General features: G+C 44.1%; 2 long non-coding RNA genes across 5 annotated transcripts in view, besides 2 other annotated features; one reads left to right on the forward strand and one right to left on the reverse strand.

Moving 5' to 3' along the window:
- LINC01191 (long intergenic non-protein coding RNA 1191) overlaps window positions 1-20958 on the forward strand; it is a 58761-nt gene that overhangs the window by 7111 nt on the left and 30692 nt on the right. For 2 of the 4 annotated variants that reach the window (NR_148509.1, NR_034128.1), the window contains exon 1: window positions 3137-3696. The exons of 1 other annotated variant lie outside the window; for it this stretch is intronic. This is a non-coding gene — a long non-coding RNA (long intergenic non-protein coding RNA 1191). Of the gene's footprint in view, window positions 1-3136; window positions 3973-20958 lie in introns of those variants that run through there. One more of the 4 variants, NR_148508.1, reaches the window with a different exon arrangement.
- LINC02992 (long intergenic non-protein coding RNA 2992) lies at window positions 1237-3552 on the reverse strand. Its single transcript, NR_034130.1, has one exon. It is a non-coding gene; the product is annotated as a long intergenic non-protein coding RNA 2992 (long non-coding RNA).
- Window positions 3005-3154: an enhancer, noted in NCBI's record as "active region_16434". NCBI's record gives its function as "activates an Ori minimal core promoter by ATAC-STARR-seq in GM12878 lymphoblastoid cells {active_cell/tissue: GM12878}" and the evidence as "EXISTENCE:reporter gene assay evidence [ECO:0000049][PMID:35858748]".
- Window positions 3245-3434: a silencer, noted in NCBI's record as "silent region_11891". NCBI's record gives its function as "represses an Ori minimal core promoter by ATAC-STARR-seq in GM12878 lymphoblastoid cells {active_cell/tissue: GM12878}" and the evidence as "EXISTENCE:reporter gene assay evidence [ECO:0000049][PMID:35858748]".

Here is a 20958-nt window from a genome sequence, read left to right on the forward strand (position 1 = left end):
CAAGCCTGACAGGCCATTAAAACTCCAAAGCTCCCTGTAGGGTGGGCCAAGACTCCTGCTGTGCCCTCTCACAGCTCAACTCCTCCCTCTACCCACTCCTGCCTCATCTCCCTTCCTTCCACAGGTATGGATCGGAGAACACTCCTTAATAAATCTCCTGCCCACTGAACTCTGCTCAGAGTCGGCTTCTGGGGAGCCCAGGCAGCATCATGGAGATTCTCTCTGGCTGCCTCATCTCTCCCCACCAAAACTCCAACTTCCTTTTGGTTAGGGAGTGCCTCCTTCCTCCTGCACCATGCACTTCCTCCACAAACCGTTTACATCATGGGGGATGATCTTTCCTGTGGAGACAGCCTCTGCTCTTCAGCTGAGGCAGAGGCTTAGTGGCCTCCCTTGCTGAAACCTTCAAACAGGCTTGGGGCAGGTTGGTTTATCTCCCCGTTGACAGCAGGTGTATACGGAACATGGAATCCCTTAACATTTTTTTGATTAGAAGCATGTTTTTTTTTTTTTTTTTAATTTCTGTGAGACCCCCTGGGTCAGGCTTCAGGATCTGCTGATAGACCTTCATCAGCAGGGGTGTGTGTGTTTCTGTGTGTGTGTGTGTCTAAATGTAAGTAACCACCAGAGCCTGCTTCAGTAATCAAGGGGAATTCATTGTTATAACAGAATAACCCATGAAGTTCAAGGGCCAGAATGCAGCCCAGGGATGTGGACTGCCTCAGGGCATAGGCAGAAGGGCCTCTCCAGCTGTCTCTGCTCTGGGCTGGTACTCACTCTGCAGGCCAGGCAGGGCTGCTGCTTTGTGCACATGGCAGCAGCAGCATGCCCCTAAGCGCTGGGGTCCACCCCACCGCAGATCCAGCTGCACTTGTTCGTGGTTTCTGAATACTGGTTCCAGATCTCAAGAGAGTGAGAATCTGACTGCCCAGCTTGAGCAAGTGGTCAACCCTGCTCACCCTGCTGTTTGGGGGCTAGTCCCACAAACATGGCAGACACCCCCGACCTCCTATAGGGGGTGCAGAGTCTCAGAGAGAGGGGCTGTGGTGAACAAAGGGGACAACCCTCCACAAAGGGCCCATGACACTGTGCGAACATGCCCACAGAGGGGTGGGTGCACCAATTAGAAAATGTTCGCATGAGATATGACTAGATTTCCCAAGAGACAACTCTCATAGATCAATGTGCCTGTCACGGAGGAGCAAGGAGTACGCTTGGAGAGGAAGAGGCAATGGGTAGCTATTTAAATTCATTGTAAACTGAGAAAACTGTAAACAGGGATGACGCTGCTTATGACATAGTCACATACACAGTGTCACATAGTTAAGGGGATCAGCCACATTGAGTGTGGATCTCTCCTCCTCTCGGAGCAACGTTCCTATTGACATTCGGAGAGGCACGCTGCCCCCAGATGCTCATTTTCAAACACAGGACGTGAGCAGTTTCACAAATATCCACCAGATGGTACCTTCCTACCAGAAATTAGGTTTCAGGTTGTGAAAATCCAAATTGTTTTTCCATTCCACGGACAAGCTATAGAATTAGATGCCTATCCTGGCTACGGTCAGAGGAAAGAAAATGGGTGAGAACCAATTCCAGGGAACGACCCACGGAGTTTTTATTCTCAAGAATACCAAACAGAACTTGCAGGGTCCTTTGTGTGGTGGAGGGAGGCAGCTGCTGTGGATGAGTCATGGAAAGGCCATGTGCAAGGGAAAGACCTTGAGGTTATCTCCGGAGAGGGGTTGGTTGTAAACATCCTCAATGGCACCTTTGTTTTATCCCACTAGTTGCCAAATACCTGTGATTCTGCACAGCGCTCCTGGAATGCTCAGAAATTATGACTGGTTACTCTGTCAAAGAAAGTCTTTGTTGTAGAAACTTCCTCATTTGTTCAGGCCTTTGGGTTCTAAGCCCTGAGCCATAGTCTCCCCCGGTTGTTTGCCTGTGTGGGCTAGGGAGGGTGACTGATGTTCACCGTGGGGTGACCACCTTGTCCTGGTTTGGCAGCTGCCTTCCTGCCTTTAGCAGTGACAGTAAAGCAAACCCAGGCGGTTGGTCATCTCGGTGCACTGAGCTGTACACACCAGGGACAGTGCTGGATCCTCACGCAGGTTCAATGAGCTGGGCGATTTGAGGTGGTAGATGCCGTCTTCACATGATTAATCATTTTGTTCTTGGCATTTTCCTAGTAGGTCTCCCTGCTTCCTTTTGCCAGAAAAGGTAAAGTTCTGGAGAAAGAGGTTTTTTCTTGGCTTTTGAGTTCAGGCCTTACAGAGGTAAAACCGAGTAGATGTGGGAGAACATGTGGTAAACAGATACAACTTTCCCGGGATGGGGAGAGAAAAATAGTGAAACTCCATCTCCACTAAAAATACAAAAACTAGCCCGGCGTGGTGGCACGCGCCTGTAATCCCAACTACTTGGGAGGCTGCGGCAGGTGAATCACTTGAAGCCGGGAGGTGAAGGCCGCAGTAACGCTGTTCCCTGCATTGGATGAAGTGCTCCCCACCAAACTCTCTCACCGGAGAGGGTGGGATCTGCGGGCTCCCTGGGTGGCTTGATTTCGACACCCTGTGGGCTGCCTTCCACTCTGGTACTTTCCTCTGCCTGCTGATGCTTGAAATTCCTTGAACCGGCCACACACACCTGCTTTCTGGAATCAGAACACTGGAAAGGCTTCCTGGGACGGGAGAAGAGTGATTTACATTCCTGCCGAGGTGTAAAGCTGCGGATGGCAGGTTCTCTCCTGAGAACCGGCTTCAACTAGGAGGAGGAGGTTGGAAGCAGGACCCCGAGCTGACCTGTTGACCAGGAGAGGAGTAAGCAGAAGGGAGGCAGGAGCGGGCGGAGGAGAGAAGGCCGGGGAGCCGGGATGGGGGTCACCGCCCCCGGGGAGCCGGGATGGGGGTCACCGCCCCCGGGGAGCCCGGATGGGGGTCACCGCCCCCGCCCCCGTGATGCCGAGCTGAAAAAGACAGTCTCCAGGTAGGATAATCCGTCACACTAGATGCATATAGCTTCATGCAAGAAGAGCGACTGTTGCGCTGTCTTCTACCCCCTTTGGCCGCGATCCCGTGACAATGCCGGCATCCGGGCACCAACTGGCTTTTGCGAACCGCTCTCCGCTCCCCGCCCGGATTCCGAAGCCCGGAGCCGTTTACAGTTTGAGGCGCCGTGTGCCGCCCCCTGGTGGCCGGAGGCCGTTACTGTCGCGGCTGAGGGGGCGTCCCGGTGTATCCGCAGCGCGCCCTGGCCGCCCTCTGGTGGCCGGAGGCCGTTACTGTCGCGGCTGAGGGGGCGTCCCGGTGTATCCGCAGCGCGCCCTGGCCGCCCCCTGGTGGCCGGAGGCCGTTACTGTCGCGGCTGAGGGGGCGTCCCGGTGTATCCGCAGCGCGCCCTGGCCGACCCCTGGTGGCCGGAGGCCGTTACTGTCGCGGCTGAAGGGGCGTGTCCCGGTGTATCCGCAGCGCGCCCTGGCTGCCCCCTGGTGGCCGGAGGCCGTTACTGTCGCGGCTGAGGGGGCGTCCCGGTGTATCCGCAGCGCGCCCTGTCCCGCCATATACATTCCGTGCTTTTCAAACACCCGCCGTGGGCTAAGCATGGGACCCACGTGGGGCGGGGACACACGGCGATAAAGAGCCAGGCCCTCGCTGCCAAGGAGCTTTCCCGTAACACCGATGCATCAAACAAAAGGTAGTAAAAGTGCCTGGGTTTTTGCGTTGAAATATCTTTCCCTTCAACTCCCCACAAGGTGCTTTTACTCCCCGTCATCACCACCGCCTGCCAGAGGCAGTAAACTTGGGTCCAGCGGGCCCCTGTCAAGCTGCATAACCACACAGTGAGAGGCTGTCTAGAGAAAGGCGTTTGTTCAGGAGCAGAGCGTTGCAACGGTAACACGCATGTCATAGTAAACTGTGCATATTCGAGGAGGCAGAGGAAGAAAGGAAGAGGAAGGTTTTCAAAGAGAAAGTAAGGAGGATTTCATAATTGTTTTCAAATGGTTATCCTTGGCTACAGAGATCAATAACAAGGGGTTGCCAGTCCAAGGTTAGACAGGCAGTTGCTGGGCGAATGTCCTTGTGGAGGTTTTTTTTTGTTTTTTTTTTTTTATATATATGTGTAAGGCTGTGATGGCCTTTGTGCAAGGTTATGGTTTTGTAGAGCCTTTTGTGTTAGTTTTTGTTATCAGGCATACAAGTGTGGGAGTGCTTTCTTCTTAGCTTTCCCTAGCTCTATTTGTCAAGTTTTTTTTGGTTTGTTTTTTGTTTTTTTTTCCCAAGATGGCGTCTTGCTCTGTCACCCAGACTGGAGTGCAGTGGCACGATCTCGGCTCACTGCAACCTCCACCTCCTGGGTTCAAGCGATTCTCCCGCCTCAGCCTCCTGAGTAGCTGGGAGGTGCCCGCCACCACGCCCAGCTAATTTTTGTATTTTTAGTAGAGACGGGGTTTCACCATGTTGGCCAGGCTGGTCTCGAACTCCTGACCTCAGGTGATCCGCCTGCCTCAGTCTCCCAAAGTGCTGGGATTACAGGCGTGGGCCACTGCGCACAGCCTGAGTTTTTTTTTTTTTAAAGAAAAAACATTAGTAACTCCATTTTGATTCTTACAACTTCCACACCACCTAGCACTTTATCTCCAACCCTCGGGGACAGCTGGTCTTGTAGACTCTGGCAATTCTAGACAATAACCTCACAGACAAACCATGATTACTCATTTCCCTGGGGCATGGCTGCTCTCAGCCCTTCTACATCCCCAGTCCTACTTATTTGCTTATCTCCTGGCCAGGCAAACCTCCTTTCCCCATGAAGTCCTTCCATGCCTGCTCCAAACCCACATGGCCTCTTTATTCTCAGGACTTCTCTCTACCATTATTTTTTTCGTTTTTTTTTTTTTTTTTTTTTTTTTTTAATTTTTATTTTCCAAGTAGACGTGAAGTTCCCCGATGGCTGAGGCTGTGTTACACCAATTTTCTACCCATCCTTCCTTCTTAAATTATGTCCCAGAGCTCCCAAGTTTCTCTTTTATTATGTACAGAAACTGCCTTCTTCCTTTCAAATATTGGGGCTACACTTAGGCCTCATCAACATATTCCCTCACCAGAGATGGGAAGTAGTTAAGTCAGGATAGGCTAAGTTATTGGCAGTAACAATCCTCAATCTCTGTGGGTTAAAATAACAAGGTTTATTTCTTCCTGATGTTTCACAACTACCGTGAATCACTTAAGGATAGGGTTGCCAGATTTAGCAAAGAAAAATACAAGACATTCAAATTTGAATTTCAGATAATCGGCGAATTTTTTAGTATAGGTATGTCTCAAATGTTGCATACTAAAAATTATTATTTTTTCCTAAAATTCGGGTGTAACTGGCCATCCTGTATTTGAGCTGACAATCTTGCTGAGGGGTCTGCTCCGTCTCCTCACTCAGGACTCAGGCTAACGGTGCCTCCACTCGTCAATAGCCCAGAAGAGAGAAAGGGGATGTGGTAATTTGCACACTGGCTCTTGGAGTGTTTTTGGATGGAGTAATCTACAACACTTCCAATCGCATGTCTTTGGTCAAGGCTAGCCAGGAGGCCATTCCTAACCTGGAAGGGGTGGGGAAATGAAGTCCTACCCTGTGCTCAGAAGAAGTGAGCACTAGGTTATTGGTAAACAGCCCAAATCACTACCATGGTTAGAGGTATTTCCATAACTGCTGTTAGGAAAAACTGATTTCTCCATCTTATTAAAAGAAATTAGAGGTGAGGGTGGGGGTGAAGGCAAAAGAAAAAAACCAGAAATTTGTATTAAGCATAATCTTTTTCCTTGTAATTTCTATCTAGTGGTTAACCATTGCTTTCTAGTGAGCAGAAAATAGCTTTCCATACCCACTTAAATATGTGAAAATAAGTAAATGTTGCATTCCCTTATCTTTTCTTCTCAGGATTAGGTGCCTCCCCATTTTTTTTTTTTTACCACACTTTCCTCATACGATGTAGTTTCCAGAACTTTATTTACCATTGATAATATATACTAACTGAATTGTAGCAGGCTGTATTCACTAAGTGAGCCAAACCGCGCCCAGCCTCATTTTATTATTATTTTGTGGTTCTAGATACAGACTAGACTCAAACATAGAAGAAAGCAATTTATTTTGAGATGGTGGCAAGTCAGGGGAGCCTCTAAGTCCTACTTGTTGGAGTTTTTTGGTTGCCCTGTGACCTCTCGCCTTTGGCTTCCTCATTAGATATTAAAGACATTGGCGGTAACACTGGAATGGATGTGAAGATGGGAGAGGTCTACCCATAGCCCATTCTACAGAGCAGAACTGAGGCTCAGATATTGAGGTAGATTAAAGATGGCTGCCAGTTCAGTGCCACTTGTCCCGTTGAACTGTGAAGTCTTATCCCCCTCCTTGGGTCTGCACCAGCCTTGATGACTTGCTCACTACAATGTGGTAGAAGTGATGGTGCATGACTTCCAAGGTTAGATCAGAAGAAGCCTTGAAGTTCCTGCCTTGGTCTCTTGAAACAACTTACCGTGTAAGAAGTCTGACACCCTGAGACCGCCATGTTGGCACAGTTATGGGTGGATGCTCCAGTAGATGGATCCAGCTGAGCCCAGCCCTCCAGCCATTCCCACCCCCAAACCATGGGTGAAACTGTCTTGGACCCTCCAGTCCAGCCCACTCAACATCTAAATACCACAGACTGACCTCAGCTGATACCATCACCCAGTTAAAATGTGCCTGAAACTGACCCACAAAATCATGAGATAAACTAAAATGGTTGTTGTCCTAAGCCACTAAGATAATAGAGCAGATATATATGCACTTAACACTCTCTCCCGGGGGTCTGCTTTTCCTTTCCCCATTTTGTGTTGCACGCCTGGTTGTTCTCACAGATTTCATGAGTGGGGAGGTGTGATGAGCCTGGGATATTCATCTTCAACAGAAACAATCCAGATAAACTCTTCATTCAAACAGGGTTTGGGCTGCACTGCAATTTTGTTGTCAAATTGGATTTGGAGGTGCTCAGGTTTAGCAAGCACTTCCATGGGAAAGAGAACTCTGTTGGATGGTAATGTAAGAGGACTCTGTCTACAGAAATAAGGTGAGACAGCTCAGTGCAGTTTAACAATTGTGCCATGTGCTTAACTAATCTCTTTCTTACAGTTACTCTTTGAAGTGAGTATTGTTTCCATTATACAGACAAGTAAATTGAGGCCAGGCAGCACAAGCAGTAAGTGCCAGATGGGATTTCAAACCAGGCTTGTTTACCAGATAGGCTACCATGAGGTTAATGCCCAAGAGACAGACCTAAACATTCATTTTATAAATGAGAAGACTGAAGACCAGAGAGATTAAGTAGTTTTGCTGCTGTGCTCTATAACTAACCACGCCTTTTCTGGCCAGTAGACTCCAGCCTGATCCTCAAGGCTCTCTGGAGTGTAGGCCAAAGCCATGCTGAGTGAGTGTCTTCGGGAGTGCTATTTTACGAGGGAAATAGAAGAGATGATATCTGTACTTCCATTTCTAGTATGTTCCCAGAGAAAGCAAGTCCCTGATCACCTTCTGTTTCATTCGTGGCAGAAGGCTGGGGACTGTGATTTGGTGGATGAACAGTTAGTACCTCCAAAATGCTGGATTGCTGTCATGTGCTTTTCTCTGGAGAGAGCATCCTCTCAAGAAAACATCCATCCCTGTGATCTGGCAGAGGTCACAAAGATAGTTCCATCTTTGCTCCACAGCACGGAAAACGGGAGATATAGTAAATCAGTGGAGCTATTCTGGGATCACAGGCTACTCAAAAGACCATTCCTGGCTTCTCTTGCATCTCTCAGGCTGCCTGGGCGCGGGACCCAAGTCAGCATCCATCAGCAGCAGGGGGAGTGGTGCAGAGGCTGGTGCGGAACGTTACGTATTTACAAATAGAACAAGGACCCGGTGTGACTTGGATAAAGAGAAGTCCAAATAGGGTCAGAAATTCTAAGTTGAAATCACTCTGGAGATTAAGTATTTATGAAGCACTTTGTACCCACAAAATGAATTTGAATCATTTATCATCCAAACTCACAGTGTCATAGTAACATATAAGTATCTGGGTTATGGCTAAGGACCCAAACTTGAACTACTACCTGTATAAAAAGGGGACATTTTTATGCACGTGGGTCCTGTTTTTAATGCTATTGTGGAGCAAAATCAAGAATTTTAAAAATAAATACCTGAGTCTTGATCCAGACCCATCATGACTGTGGAAACCTGTAATTCTCTCCTGTGACACTTCTGAAATGGTGGCTCTCCTGTCGCAGGCAGCAGTGAAAGGCGGATTCTTTCCGATGAATCTCTAATAACCCTCCCTTCTTTGTCTCACAACGTGGTGATTTGCCTTGTGTAGCTCTTTATGTTCTGAGATGAGCAGATGACAGATTGGGATGCTGGAGATTTTGAATGTGCACACGGCTGAGAAGACCACGCCAGTTGGCTTACATGCCGAATTCAAGGTGAAAACTGCTTTGGGTTGTGGTAGTTGAAGCTGTTTGCAAAATCAGGAGCTGACTGTGGCTCTGCTGGTTATCCAGAAGCCTCCAGGAAGTCATAGTACATCTCATTTCTCCTCTGACTGTTCAAATGACCTCTTTCACAAAAATACTTCTCTACTTAATCTACCCTCTCTCCAATTGTCTAAAACCCCACTTTACTTCTTAGAATTATTGACCATAGGATCTAAAAGGAATTGTATAGATTATTTCATCCAACCTTCTTATTTCATTAATGAGGAAACTGAGAGTCTAAAATGTTAAAATAAGACTAGAATACAAGTATTTCAAGTCTTCTTTCAATCTTGTAATGTTTGATTTTGTTAAACATGTATCCCATAGCTACATTGAATGCTTTTTACTTTGGATTCTTCTCCATTCCCTAGTATGCCTTACTCAGGGCTCATTCATAGCACAGAAATGTCTGATCAGCAGTTGACTGGTAGTGGCTGCCTGGAGTGCTCTGCTTAGGAGGAGCCAGCGGAATAGATCTCACGGTTTCTCTCCAGATGTGACCTCTACTGAGATAACTTTGATCACCCTAGCTAAAAAGTGTCGTCTCTCCCCGATTCCCTTAGGCACACATTATCCCCTTTCCTTACCTAATTGTACTCCTATCACCTCTCATTAACTAAAATTATTTTTCTTGTGTATTGCCTTATTTCCCCACGAGAATGTAAGTTCCAAGAGGGCAGGGACTTTGTTTGTCTCAACCACTGCAGGGTCTGCTGTGCTTATGAGAGTGCTGACATGTAGGAGTCACTCAATAAATAACTGTGGAATAGATGGCCAAATGCTGCCATTGATTAGTGATGTCTGCCGTGGGCAATGGAGAGACAAATTACTGGGGTCAACGCAAAGCTTTTGTCACCGGTGGTTATTGGCCAACCAACCAATCCCAGATGCAAGACTGGTTTCCTTTTGACATTCAATTTAATTCTGGGCCATTGTGGGATAACCAGTTATTAGATACTCTGGAAGGAAGAATTCCCTGAATCACTAGTTAGGCAACTTAAAAGAAGAAAGGCACATTTTCTGCTATCTCTTCTCCTCATTGTCTTATTCATCATGACACTTCTACAACGTTGCAGAATTCTTAGCACATAGTAGGCGCACAATAAATATTTATTCACTGATAATTTGTGCTTTCTCAATGTCATTTTAAGAGGATTTTGTAAAACTTTCCTGCTAATCTGAAAGAGCTGCACCACAGAACACAGTATATAGCTCAAAGTACACAGTACGTATTGGTGTGCCTGATTGAGACTCAGGTGTACAAAGCCATGAGCAAAGTTCAGGTAAATATCCAAATTAAACTGTTCTAAAGTAGGTTGAGCAGCATCCTTTACCTTAGCCCTGAATATTGGCTGTTCTTAAAGTAGGTTGAGCAGCTTCCATTACCTTAGCCCTGAATATTGGCTGTTCTTATCCATCTTCTCCTTGAAGTCAATATTTGAAATAGGCTTTTGTGAGGCAGGAGAGGCTTAAGAAAAGTAAAAAAACCAAAGAGGGATTTAGTGCTTAAATATATTTATGAATTCATCTCAATTTCTCTTTATCTCTTTTTAAAGAGCTGTGGTATATGTGAAAACGTTTGTAGCAGGTAGAGGTTTTTGAAAATTGGCTCATTTTTAACCCAGTCGATACTGTTGTTTCATGTCAAAAGCAGGATATGATGCAGTGCCCTGATAGATCTGATTTACTGTTCTCTAGGACTCTGGGGTTGTATACCATCTATACTCTCCCAAATTTGATGGTGTCAATATGACCTAACGTTTAATTATTTGCATAGCCTATTTAAAATTAAAATAGCAACAGGCTCTGAGTTCTTTTCAAGCTTTAATACACTCTCCCTTTAAAAATATATTTTTCATAAATTACTCTGCTGTCTGGCAGGCCATCCCATTCTTCAGTTCCTGTAATAAAAGGGGATGGTGTGATGTGGGTGTGAAACGCAGAGGAGAGCACCATGGTTAAACAAGAGCGGACACTGATCAAATCCATTAATCAAAGTGCCTTTTAAATCTCTGCAAGTTGAGAACTGTAGCATCCAGGGATTTGATTAAAGAGGAAATATAAAATGGCAGAAGAGGCCAATAGCTGCCTGGGCAGGTCACCTCTCAGAGCCCCTGATTAATGGAACGTGGCTTTCAATGGAATTTGTTTTCTCTGAATCATCTTTTGGAGCTTATTTGCTAAGAAAAGGTGGATTTGAGCTGCAATATCTCCTTGTGGCTATTGGAAAAACACCAATACGGCAGAAACTTGAAAATCTCTTCAGGCTGGCCTCTTATGCCTTTTCCTCTTTGGATTATCCCAACTCCCCTGATTTCCACGTAACCCAAATAACTTCACAAGGGTAACATCACTGTCCAATTTCAGTGTTCTAAAGGCAAGGATTCCTAAGCACTATTGAAGCAGGTTTTTACCCTAGAGGTGAATACCTATTATCATCAGTGCCATTCAGTCGTTTGTTGGCTTGTTTGTTCATTATTTTATTTAATCCATTTATTCAGAAATACTTCTTGAACATTTATGTCTAAGCCCAAAATTATATGTCAGAAGAAAGGTGAAAAGCCTCCGTGCCTGTCCTCTAAGTGCCTTCAGTGTGGTGGAGAGAGGTCAAGAAACACCTGCTATAAAATACGGCGAGTTCTGGCTACCCTGGAGGCTATGCCCTGGAGGAATGATGGGAGCAAGTAGGAAGGAACTCTGAAACCTCTGGGGGGTGGTGTTGTGGAGTGTTCCCAGGGAGGTTCTCAATTGGAGAGGAGTTGGGAGGTTGGGCAGGGGGAGAGCCAGGGCGAGTGAAGGCACCTGCGCTGAGTAGAGGAGACAGAGCATAGAGTGCTTGGGAATGGCAAGTGCAGCCACAGTGTGGAGGATGCAGGGGCAAAGGTGTGGATAGGCCAGCAGGAGCCTGTGGGAGAGGACTTCTATTTCAGGGGGAGATGGGAAGCCATTCCAGGATTTTCAATGAGGAACATGCTAGAAAGACAGCTCCTGGGGCATTGTGGAGAATAGGTAAGAGTTGGAAAAGATTTGAGTGAGGGAGAAAACTAGGAGCTGAGCCCAAATCTTGGAGAGAAATGGCTAGAGTATGAGCTAATAAGGGAAGTGGAAAAAGGAAATTTGAGATGTATTTGAGAAATCTACAGGATCAATGTGAGGCAAGCCAAATCTGGCGAGAAGTAGGACTTCACCTGTGTTCAAGGTTGCATTTACTTTGGTTTGCTTACAAAACCTCAAATCAGCAAACTAATGCCATTTGTGGGATTAGAACAAAGACCTCCCACTGCCCTTCTTGTTTCTAGAGGTTTCCCATATTTTGCAGATGTTGGTAATCCACTTAAGTGACATGCCCACCAGGCCAGAGAGGCTAAGAACTGTGAGTTTTATGGGCTTGGTTACATTAGCACCTAGAATCACTAATAGTTCCATGCAAGGCAGGTCACACTCCTCACACTAAAGTCTGAATTCTGGGTCTTGAAGTTCTGGATTGAACAATTTTTCTTTTCTCTCCATATGATTCTGGACCTGAACACTTCTTATCTATTTTGTGATCTTTCTCTGGGTAGGACTGGCCAAAGCTTATGATACAAAGCTTTGTATCATGAAGGGAAGAGTGTAGGTGGTCTCCCAGGCTGCTGGTTCAGGTGAATGGGTACATGGTCGTGCCATTCATTCACCTTCATGGTAAACACAAAGAAGAGATAGGATTCGATAAGGTAAGAAACTTTAAGGTATGTGTGCTTGAGCTGTTTGTTGGACTCCAGAGAGGTTTAGGTCTGGAGTTGAAGTTTAGGTCTCCCTGGGATAGTAGTAGATATTTGAGATTTAAAAAAGATGTGGCAAAAACCATCATTGTGTGTGAAGGATGGAGGATGTGTAGAACATCAGGACAGAGCCCTGTGAAACATTCATATTTAATCAGAGGAAGAGAAGTGCTATGGACTGAAGGTTTGTGTTACCCTCAAATTCATAAGTTCAAGCCCTAACTTCCAGTTTGATGGTATTTTGAGATGGGGCTTTGAGAGGTGACTAGGGTTAGATAAAGCCATGAGGATGGGGCCTTTCTGATGGGATTAGTGGACTTATAAGAAGGAAGAGGGAGAAGTCTCATTCTCTCTTTATGTGCATAAACTGAGAAAAGGAATGTAAGGACATAGCAAGAAGGCAGCTGTCTGCAAGCCAGCAAGAGAGCCCTCACCAGGAACCAAACTAGCTGGCACCTTGGTCTTGGACTTCTCAGCTTCCAGAACTGTGGGAAACAATTTCTGCTGTTTAATCTGCCCAGTCTATGGTGTTTCGTTATAGTAGCCCAAATTGACTAAAACAAGGAGCCTGTAAAAAAGAATAAAAAGACTAACAAGGCCAGGTGAGGTGGCTCACGCCTGTAATCCCAGCACTTTGGGAGGCTGAGGTGGGTGGGTCGCCTGAGGTCAGGAGTTTGAGACAAGCCTGGCCAACATAGTGAAACCCCATCTCTACTAAAAATACAAAAAATTAGCTGGGCATGGTGGCAGGTGCCTGTAATCCCAGCTACTCGGGAGGCTGAGGCAGGAGAATTGCTTGAACTCTGGAGGCAGAGTTTGCAGTGAGCCGAGATCGCGCCACTGCACTCCAGCCTGGGCAACAAGAGCAAAACTCCTTCTCAAAAACAAACAAACAAACAAACAAAAAGCTAACAAGAGGGCTAAGGGGAGAAGCAGGGCATAATAGCTCCATGGAGGTGAAAGAATTAGGCTGGTGTAAAGAGAAATGGCAGTTCAACTGTGTGAAAAAAAGATACAAATTTCGGGTGTGCATTGGGCTCATAGGTCTATTTTGTGCTTAAAGTTGTTGTCCACGTGTGTTATATGCAGCACTTTCAGATAGAATAAATGAAGAAACACCCATTCTGATCACCAACATAGTTGTAATTAAAAATTTAGTTTTCTTATATTACAATGGTGACAACTATTTATTGTAGGAAAAAAATTAGATTAGGATAAAGAAAAACCAAAAATATGTAAAAGAAATATCTTTGCTAATATTACTATTCAGTGAAACTGCTTTTATTAGGTTGTTGCAAAAGTAATTGTGGCTTTTGCTATCACCTTCAATGGCAAAAACCACAATTACTTTTGCACCAACCTAATTAAATCTCTGGTTCCTGTATGCCCTTCCTTGCTCTTTTATTCTGTCTCTTCCACATTTACATATTCACACGTATATTTACACGTTCACACGTATGTATAATAAATAAACGGGATCGCATTGCTGTGTAACCTGCTTTTTCAATCTAATGAACGCGTTCTATGCCAATACATATTTATCCATAGAATAATTTTTAAAATGGCTATAACCAATCTCCTATTGTTGGACATTTAGGTTGCTACTATAAATAACATTGTAAGGACTATCTTTATGGCCACAAATTAATTCTTATTCTTAATTAGTTGCTTGGGTTAACTTCCTTAAAGTAGAATTGTAGAATCAAAAAGCATTCACATTTTTAAGAAAGCATCGTTAATATCCAACTGTTTGTATGTTATATATATGCAATACTGAGAGATAGGCTTTAAGGCAGGCTTTGTTAACTTAGGTAATTGTTGAATTAGGTTATTGACTAATCCATTACCATTTTATTGAGACCTATATGCAGCTCACTATGCATATTTAGGTAACATGAATACTAAAATATTTAGAGCAAATTCTGATGGCAACTTTTAGTTATTTTATATCAAGGAAGTGACTAGAATCCATAACTGGTGAGGCCAAGAGAATAATCTCTCTTAAAGGCTATTTTAGATATTTTTCTGTTATCCATATGCTGCACTTATTTGTGCTAAGTTCTTAGTATTTACTTGCTCGCTTGTTCAATGTTCTGTCTTAAGGTACTGAATTTTTCTTAAATATTTTCGTTGGAAGATTTTATTGCTTGCTAGTTGCCTGCTTTTCTACAGATGAGAAATGCCACTGTGAGGTCTGTCTTCTCCCTTTCTAGGTAGAAGTTCTGTGCTCCCTGAGGTGATGAGTACTTTTGGGTACCATGATGGCTGAGGAGCACTTTAAATCTCTTCTGGTGGGAAGAGCTCCATCTAGGTGGTAATCTGAGCTGAAAATGGATCCTTCACTTAGTAGTATTGCGGTGATTCCCATGCAGGGCTGAGCACATGACTGCTTACCCACCTCATTCATCCATGCAGTAAATAGTTATCAAGGATCGGCTATGTGTTGGGCACTGATTGATGACACTTGGGAGCAAAACAGACAGCACCTCTGTCCATGCGGGGCTTTCGTTCTTGCAGGGGGCTCAGAATAAAAAAAAAATCAAGATTGTATTACATGATTATAAGTGTCATGGTGGCAATAGAACATATTCATATAATACGTGTGACCGGGGTAGTGGTAGGAGACTGTGTCACTGGATTGGTTGAGGAGTTAATGTTTGAGCTGAGAACTGAATAACAATTAAGAAGTAGCCAGTCTTGGGAAGATCTGAGGAAATGATACTTAGCGGAGAAGAATGTAAATGTAGAACCCCTGAAGAGGACTAAGTTGGGTATGTTTGAGCCACAGAAAGAGGGCCAGTGGGTCATTTTGAACACACAGAGGGTGGTTAGAGATGAGCTGCAGGCAGGTGGGGAAAGATGATGTGGAGTCTGTAGGCCACAGCAAGGAAAACTGGATACATTCAAAGTGTGATGAGAAGCTTTAGTGTGTTTTAAGCCAGAGAGTGACATGACTGTTTTACATTTAGAAAAGTTTGTGGGAAATGGATCCCTAGTTTAGCCAGGAAATTGCCTGTTAGGAAATCAATAAGGAATTTTTAGAATATGAGAACACTAAAACCGTGCTGAATTCTTCTGAAAGGCTAAGTTAGATGAGGGCAGAAAATCATCCTCTGGGTTCAGCAGGGTGGAAGCCATTGAGGACTTGGGTAAGAGGGTCTTCATTTCAGAAACGATGATGGAAAACTGAGTAGAGTGGGCTGAGGAGAGAATGGCGATCTGGGGGAAAACTGAGATGAAGAAACTCTGGGCCTGGGTCAGCCACACAGCTAAGGCTAGAAGCAAGGCGAGGTGGTGAAAAAGGGACCAAGGGAAACTACATACTGAGCAAGGCAACCTCCAGCGCCCTTGGCTTTCTCAGCAGTCACAATACTGGCAGCCATCCCTATGTGTGCAAGGCAGGAGTCTGGGGGACTTCTGTCTGGAGAAACTGTCTAGTGAAGACAAAAGAACTCCAGATGCTGACATCTGACGAACCTAAAGAAAGGGGCCAGATACCCACCCCATGACTGTACAGTGAGGTACACCAGTGAGTATACTGCACTCCCACACCCATGGCTTCTGGCTGCATTCTCATGCCTTACTTTTAAACATATGCAGAAACCCAAAGAAGAACATACATTTGAAGCATCCTCTATTGTGAAATACAGAGACCAAACCTGACAAACAGGAAAAAAGAACCCAGAGAAAACAGACAATGTAGAGACCAAACACTTCAAAACACCATAATAAATATTTTCAGAGACATAAGAGGAGATTTTACATACATAGAAAAAGAAGAGGGTACTATTGAAAAGGACCATTCAGAGAAAAAGATAGAGGATTGGAATTTTAAAATATGATAGAAGAATTGGCACAGAAAGTTGAGGAAATCTTCCACAATGTAAAACATAACAAGAACAAAAAGAGATGGAAAAAGAAAAGTTAAAAAATTGACATCACTTTGATAAAATAAAAATGAAAGATAAAGCTTAGGAGTTTGTCAAAATCAAAATGTTAAGCTACTATAAAACAGAAAATTTTTAATGCTGGGTATTAAATGAAATGAAAAAAGCATATTTATTGACATAGAAAGGTAGTTACAATCGGCCGGGCACGGTGGCTCACGCCTGTAATCCCAGCACTTTGGGAGGCCGAGGCAGGTGGATCACAAGGTCAGGAGATTGAGACCATCCTGGCTAACATGGTGAAACCCTATCTCTACTAAAAATACAAAAAATTAGCCGGGTCTGGTTGCAGGCACCTGTACTCCCAGCTACTCGGGAGGCTGAGGCAGGAGAATGGCGTGAACCCGGGAGGCGGAGCTTGCAGTGACCCGAGATTGCACTACACTGCACTCCAGCCTGGGCGACAGAGCCAGACTCCATCTCAAAAAAAAAAAAAAAGAAAAAGAAAGGTAGTTACAATCATTTAAGTTAAAAAGTATGGTTTACAGAATAATCGCTGGTTTGTTAAATTAAAAAAGTTATATTCATGCAAAACAAACCATAGAATATGTACATCAAAGTAAGCTTATCATTGGATTGTGATATTATGGGTTATATTATTTAGGGTAGGCTGAACTCTTATAACAAATAGACCCCAATATTTAATGGGCTCAAACTGTTTTCCAACAACTCTATTGAGGTATAATTCATATGCCATACAATCACCCTACTTAAAGTTACAATTCAGTGTTTTCCAGTAAATTAACAGAAATGTACAATCATCACCATAGTCAATTTTGGAACATTTTGGCCACCTCAAAAAGAAATCCTGTACCCTTTAGTTATCATTCCCCCGCATTGCCATCCTCCCAACCCTAAGCACCCACTGGACCTCTGTCTCTGTAGATTTCCCTATTTTAGATATTTTACATATATGAAATCATATGATATCTGGTTATCTTAGTTCAATTTCTGTTGCTTATCAGAATACCTGAAAATGGGTAATTTGTAAAGAAAAGTCATTTATTTCTTGTAAATATGGAGGCTGAGAAGTCCAAGTTCAAGGGGCCACATCTGGTGAGAGTCTTCTTGCTAGTGGGGGCTCTGGCTTGCCAAGGGGGCTGGGTGTGCTAAGGTGCTCTCATGTGCTAGCTCACATATCTCTTTCTTCTTTTAAAAGGCTAACCATGATAACCCATATAATCTGTCAATCCACGAATGGATAGGTCCATTGATAAAGGCAGAACCCTCACTGAGTGTGCTAAGGTGCTCTCATGTGCTAGCTCACATATCTCTTTCTTCTTTTAAAAGGCTAACCATGGTAACCCATATAATCTGTCAATCCACGAATGGATAGGTCCATTGATAAAGGCAGAACCCTCACTGAGTGTGCTAAGGTGCTCTCATGTGCTAGCTCACATATCTCTTTCTTCTTTTAAAAGGCTAACCATGATAACCCATATAATCTGTCAATCCACGAATGGATAGGTCCATTGATAAAGGCAGAACCCTCATCATCCAATCACCTCTTAGAGTCCCCACCTCTCAACACTGCCACACTGGGAATCAAGTTTCAACACGAGTTTCAGAGGGGATATTAAAACCATAGCAGTGGTCTTTTGTGACTGACTTCTTTCACTCATCATAATATTTTCAATTTCATTCATTTTGCAGCATGTATCAGCACTTCATTACTTTTTATGACTGAGTAATATTCCATTGTATGAATACACCATATTTTGTTTATCCATTCATCAGTTGTTGGACATTGTTTATTCCCCCACCCTATTGGCTATTACAATGCTGCTATGAAGACTTATGTGCAGGATTTTGTGTAGACATATGTTTTTATTTATCTTGGGCATATACCTAAGAGTAGAATATATGTACTTAGGAGGGTCATATTGTAACTCTATATTTAATTGTGTAAGGAATTTCCAGATTGTTTTCCAAAGTGGCTGTATTATTTAAAATTTTCACTGCACATGAGGATTCTGATTTTTTCACATCCTCATCAACACTTGTTATATGACTTTTTAATTTTAACCATCTGTAATCGGTATTAGGATTCTCCAGAGAAACAGAACCAATAGAATAAATATGTATGTATGCATATCTATCTATCTATCATCTATCTGATATAGACATATGAAAGGTAATTTGTCAGAAGAGGTGACTCATGTGATTATGGAGGGTAAGAAGTCCTACAATGTGTTATATGCAAACTGGAGAACAGGAAAGTCAGTAGCATGACTCCATCCAGCTTTGAAGATCTGAGAACCAGGGGAGCTGATGGTGTAGCTCTTAGTTCAAAGCAGAAGGCCTGAGGAACTGGGTTGGGGGGCACTGATGAAAGTCACAGAGCCTGAAGGCCAGCGAGCCTGGAGTTTTTATATCCAAGGGCAGGAGAAGATGGGTGTCCCAGCTCTAGAAGAGACAGAGAGAGAGAGAGAGAGAGAGAGAGAGAGAGTGAGCAAATTCTTTCCTTTGCCTTTTTGTTCTATTAGGGCCCTCAGCTGATTGGATGGTGCCTGCTCACATGTGGGTGAGGGCAGATCTTCCTTATTGAGTCCACTAGTTCAAATACCAACCTATTCTGGAAACAACCTCACAGAGAGACTCGAAATAATGCTTTGTCAGCCATCTAGATATCCCTTAACCCAGTCAAATTAACACCTAACATTAACCATTACAAGTTCACTCTTTGTCAACTTGGCATCCACATGCATCTCCTTAAGCCATACTTAATCTTCAAATAAAGACAATAACAAGGTCATAGTTCAACCTAACATGATATGCCTGAAAATGCCCCAAACCGTTCCTGAGAAGAGGAGGTAAAGCCCTTGAGTGACATTTACTCTTCTTCTGATAGTCCATAATTTAAATACTATGACATAAAATTAGCAATACTTGAATACTGATATAAAGTTAATACATCTTATATTACATGATAAAGGAATAGGAGAGGAAATGAAACAAAGGTATTTGCTTAATATATGTATATATACACACAAACTTTTTTTTATACTTTAAGTTCTAGGGTACCTGTGCACAATGTGCAGGTTTGTTACATGTGCATACATGTGCCATGTTGGTGTGCTGCACCCATTAACTCGTCATTTACATTAGGTATATCTCCTAATGCTATCCCTCCCCCCTCCCCCCACCCCATGACAGACCCCAGTGTGTGATGTTCCCCATCCTGTGTCCAAGTGTTCTCATTGTTCAATTCCCACCTATGAGTGAGAATGTGCCATGTTTGGTTTTCTGTCCTTGTGATAGTTCACACAAACACATTTTTTTTTAACACAATAGGGAAAAATACTCATGACAGTTACAGTCCTTACTTCTGTAACTGGTCACATGATCATAGCTGGTAATGGTAATTACCTTTTTGTACTATCCATTCTGTATTCCCATTGTCTTCAACAAGCACCTTAGCTGGTGATGGTTTTCTCACCTGGTGGAGTGACCTAAACCTTCATTCCATTTGTAGTCCTTCATGGGTTGGGTTGTTGTATTTTCCCACTGACCTTAATCACAGGGCATAGTTATACAAAGAGATACCCTAAGGGATCTCCTCTATTCCAGACATACTCTTCCTTCCTCCACTTTGGAATAGTAGTCCAGTTTCCCAGTGGTAGTCTGGATCGATCATGCCAGCCAACACTGTAATTCCCTTCTTAGCCTATTGACTCAGAGACATGAAAATCCCAATGTGGCTGGGTGGCATCTTAACCTTCAGTTGAATGGAGTCATTGTTGTGTCACCTGATGGAAGCATTCTTCCTTCTGGAGCTAACTTCTAGGCTGGCAGAGCATAAAGCTGTGGGAATAGGAAGCAAAAATTTGCTAGTGGGTCACCAGGGATAATGGTGAGTGGTGGCCTTTCTATTTCCCCTCCTTGATTCCTGGACCCATGAATGCTGAGATGAGAGAAATAGTACCATATATTGGATTCTGATTCAGAGCATATTTAGCCGTCTGGAGAAATTTGTTCCAGCCCTACAAAATATTGTCACCTAGCTGCGCTGCATCTGTGACTTCAAAATGACATTCCACAATTTTAGCAAGCCAGCTGCTTCAAAATGATGAGAAACACGGTAAGACCAGTGAATCTCATGAGCATGAAACCATTGTCACACTTCTTTGGCTGTGAAGTGAATTCCTGTTCTCCTTTTCCCCTGCAAAGGGAAGTGATGGCTCAGGGGATCCTCCTTGGCAGTAGGATTTGTTGAGGGTGAGAGTGTAGCATGTGATGATAGCATTGGGGTTCCAGGGTGTAGGTGTGTCTGAGGTGGTGTCAGGGCTGGGATGTGGGATGTGGCAACTCTGGCCCGAGGGAGGGTGCAGTAGCAGCTTTTGCTCAGGGGAGGGGGAGCAGTGTGGACTCTGGGCAGCTGTGTCACTAGTGCAGCTTTGACAAAGACTGTGGGGATCCCTGGTGATAAAAATTGTGGGTTTCTGTGGTGGCACTGCAGATCTGTGCCAGGTTGCATGATGGGGTGATGCAGGTAAAACGCTTCCTATGTTTTTCTACGTGATCACTCTCAGTTTTTCTTCTCTACTGGGTTGCTGCATCTTCTTCACTGTACTTTGGAGATTTCCTGGATTTTTTTCTGTTTGTGGTAGTTGTTAAATCATCCATTGCATTTGTGGTGGGATGTGGGTTGGGACTTCCTAGTCTCCCACCTTGCTGATGTCACTCTCTGTAGAAATAGTTTCTGAGGTCAGT

The sequence above is a fragment of the Homo sapiens genome, chromosome 2, assembly GCF_000001405.40.
Source record: "Homo sapiens chromosome 2, GRCh38.p14 Primary Assembly".
In the NCBI taxonomy this organism is placed as follows: domain Eukaryota; kingdom Metazoa; phylum Chordata; class Mammalia; order Primates; family Hominidae; genus Homo; species Homo sapiens.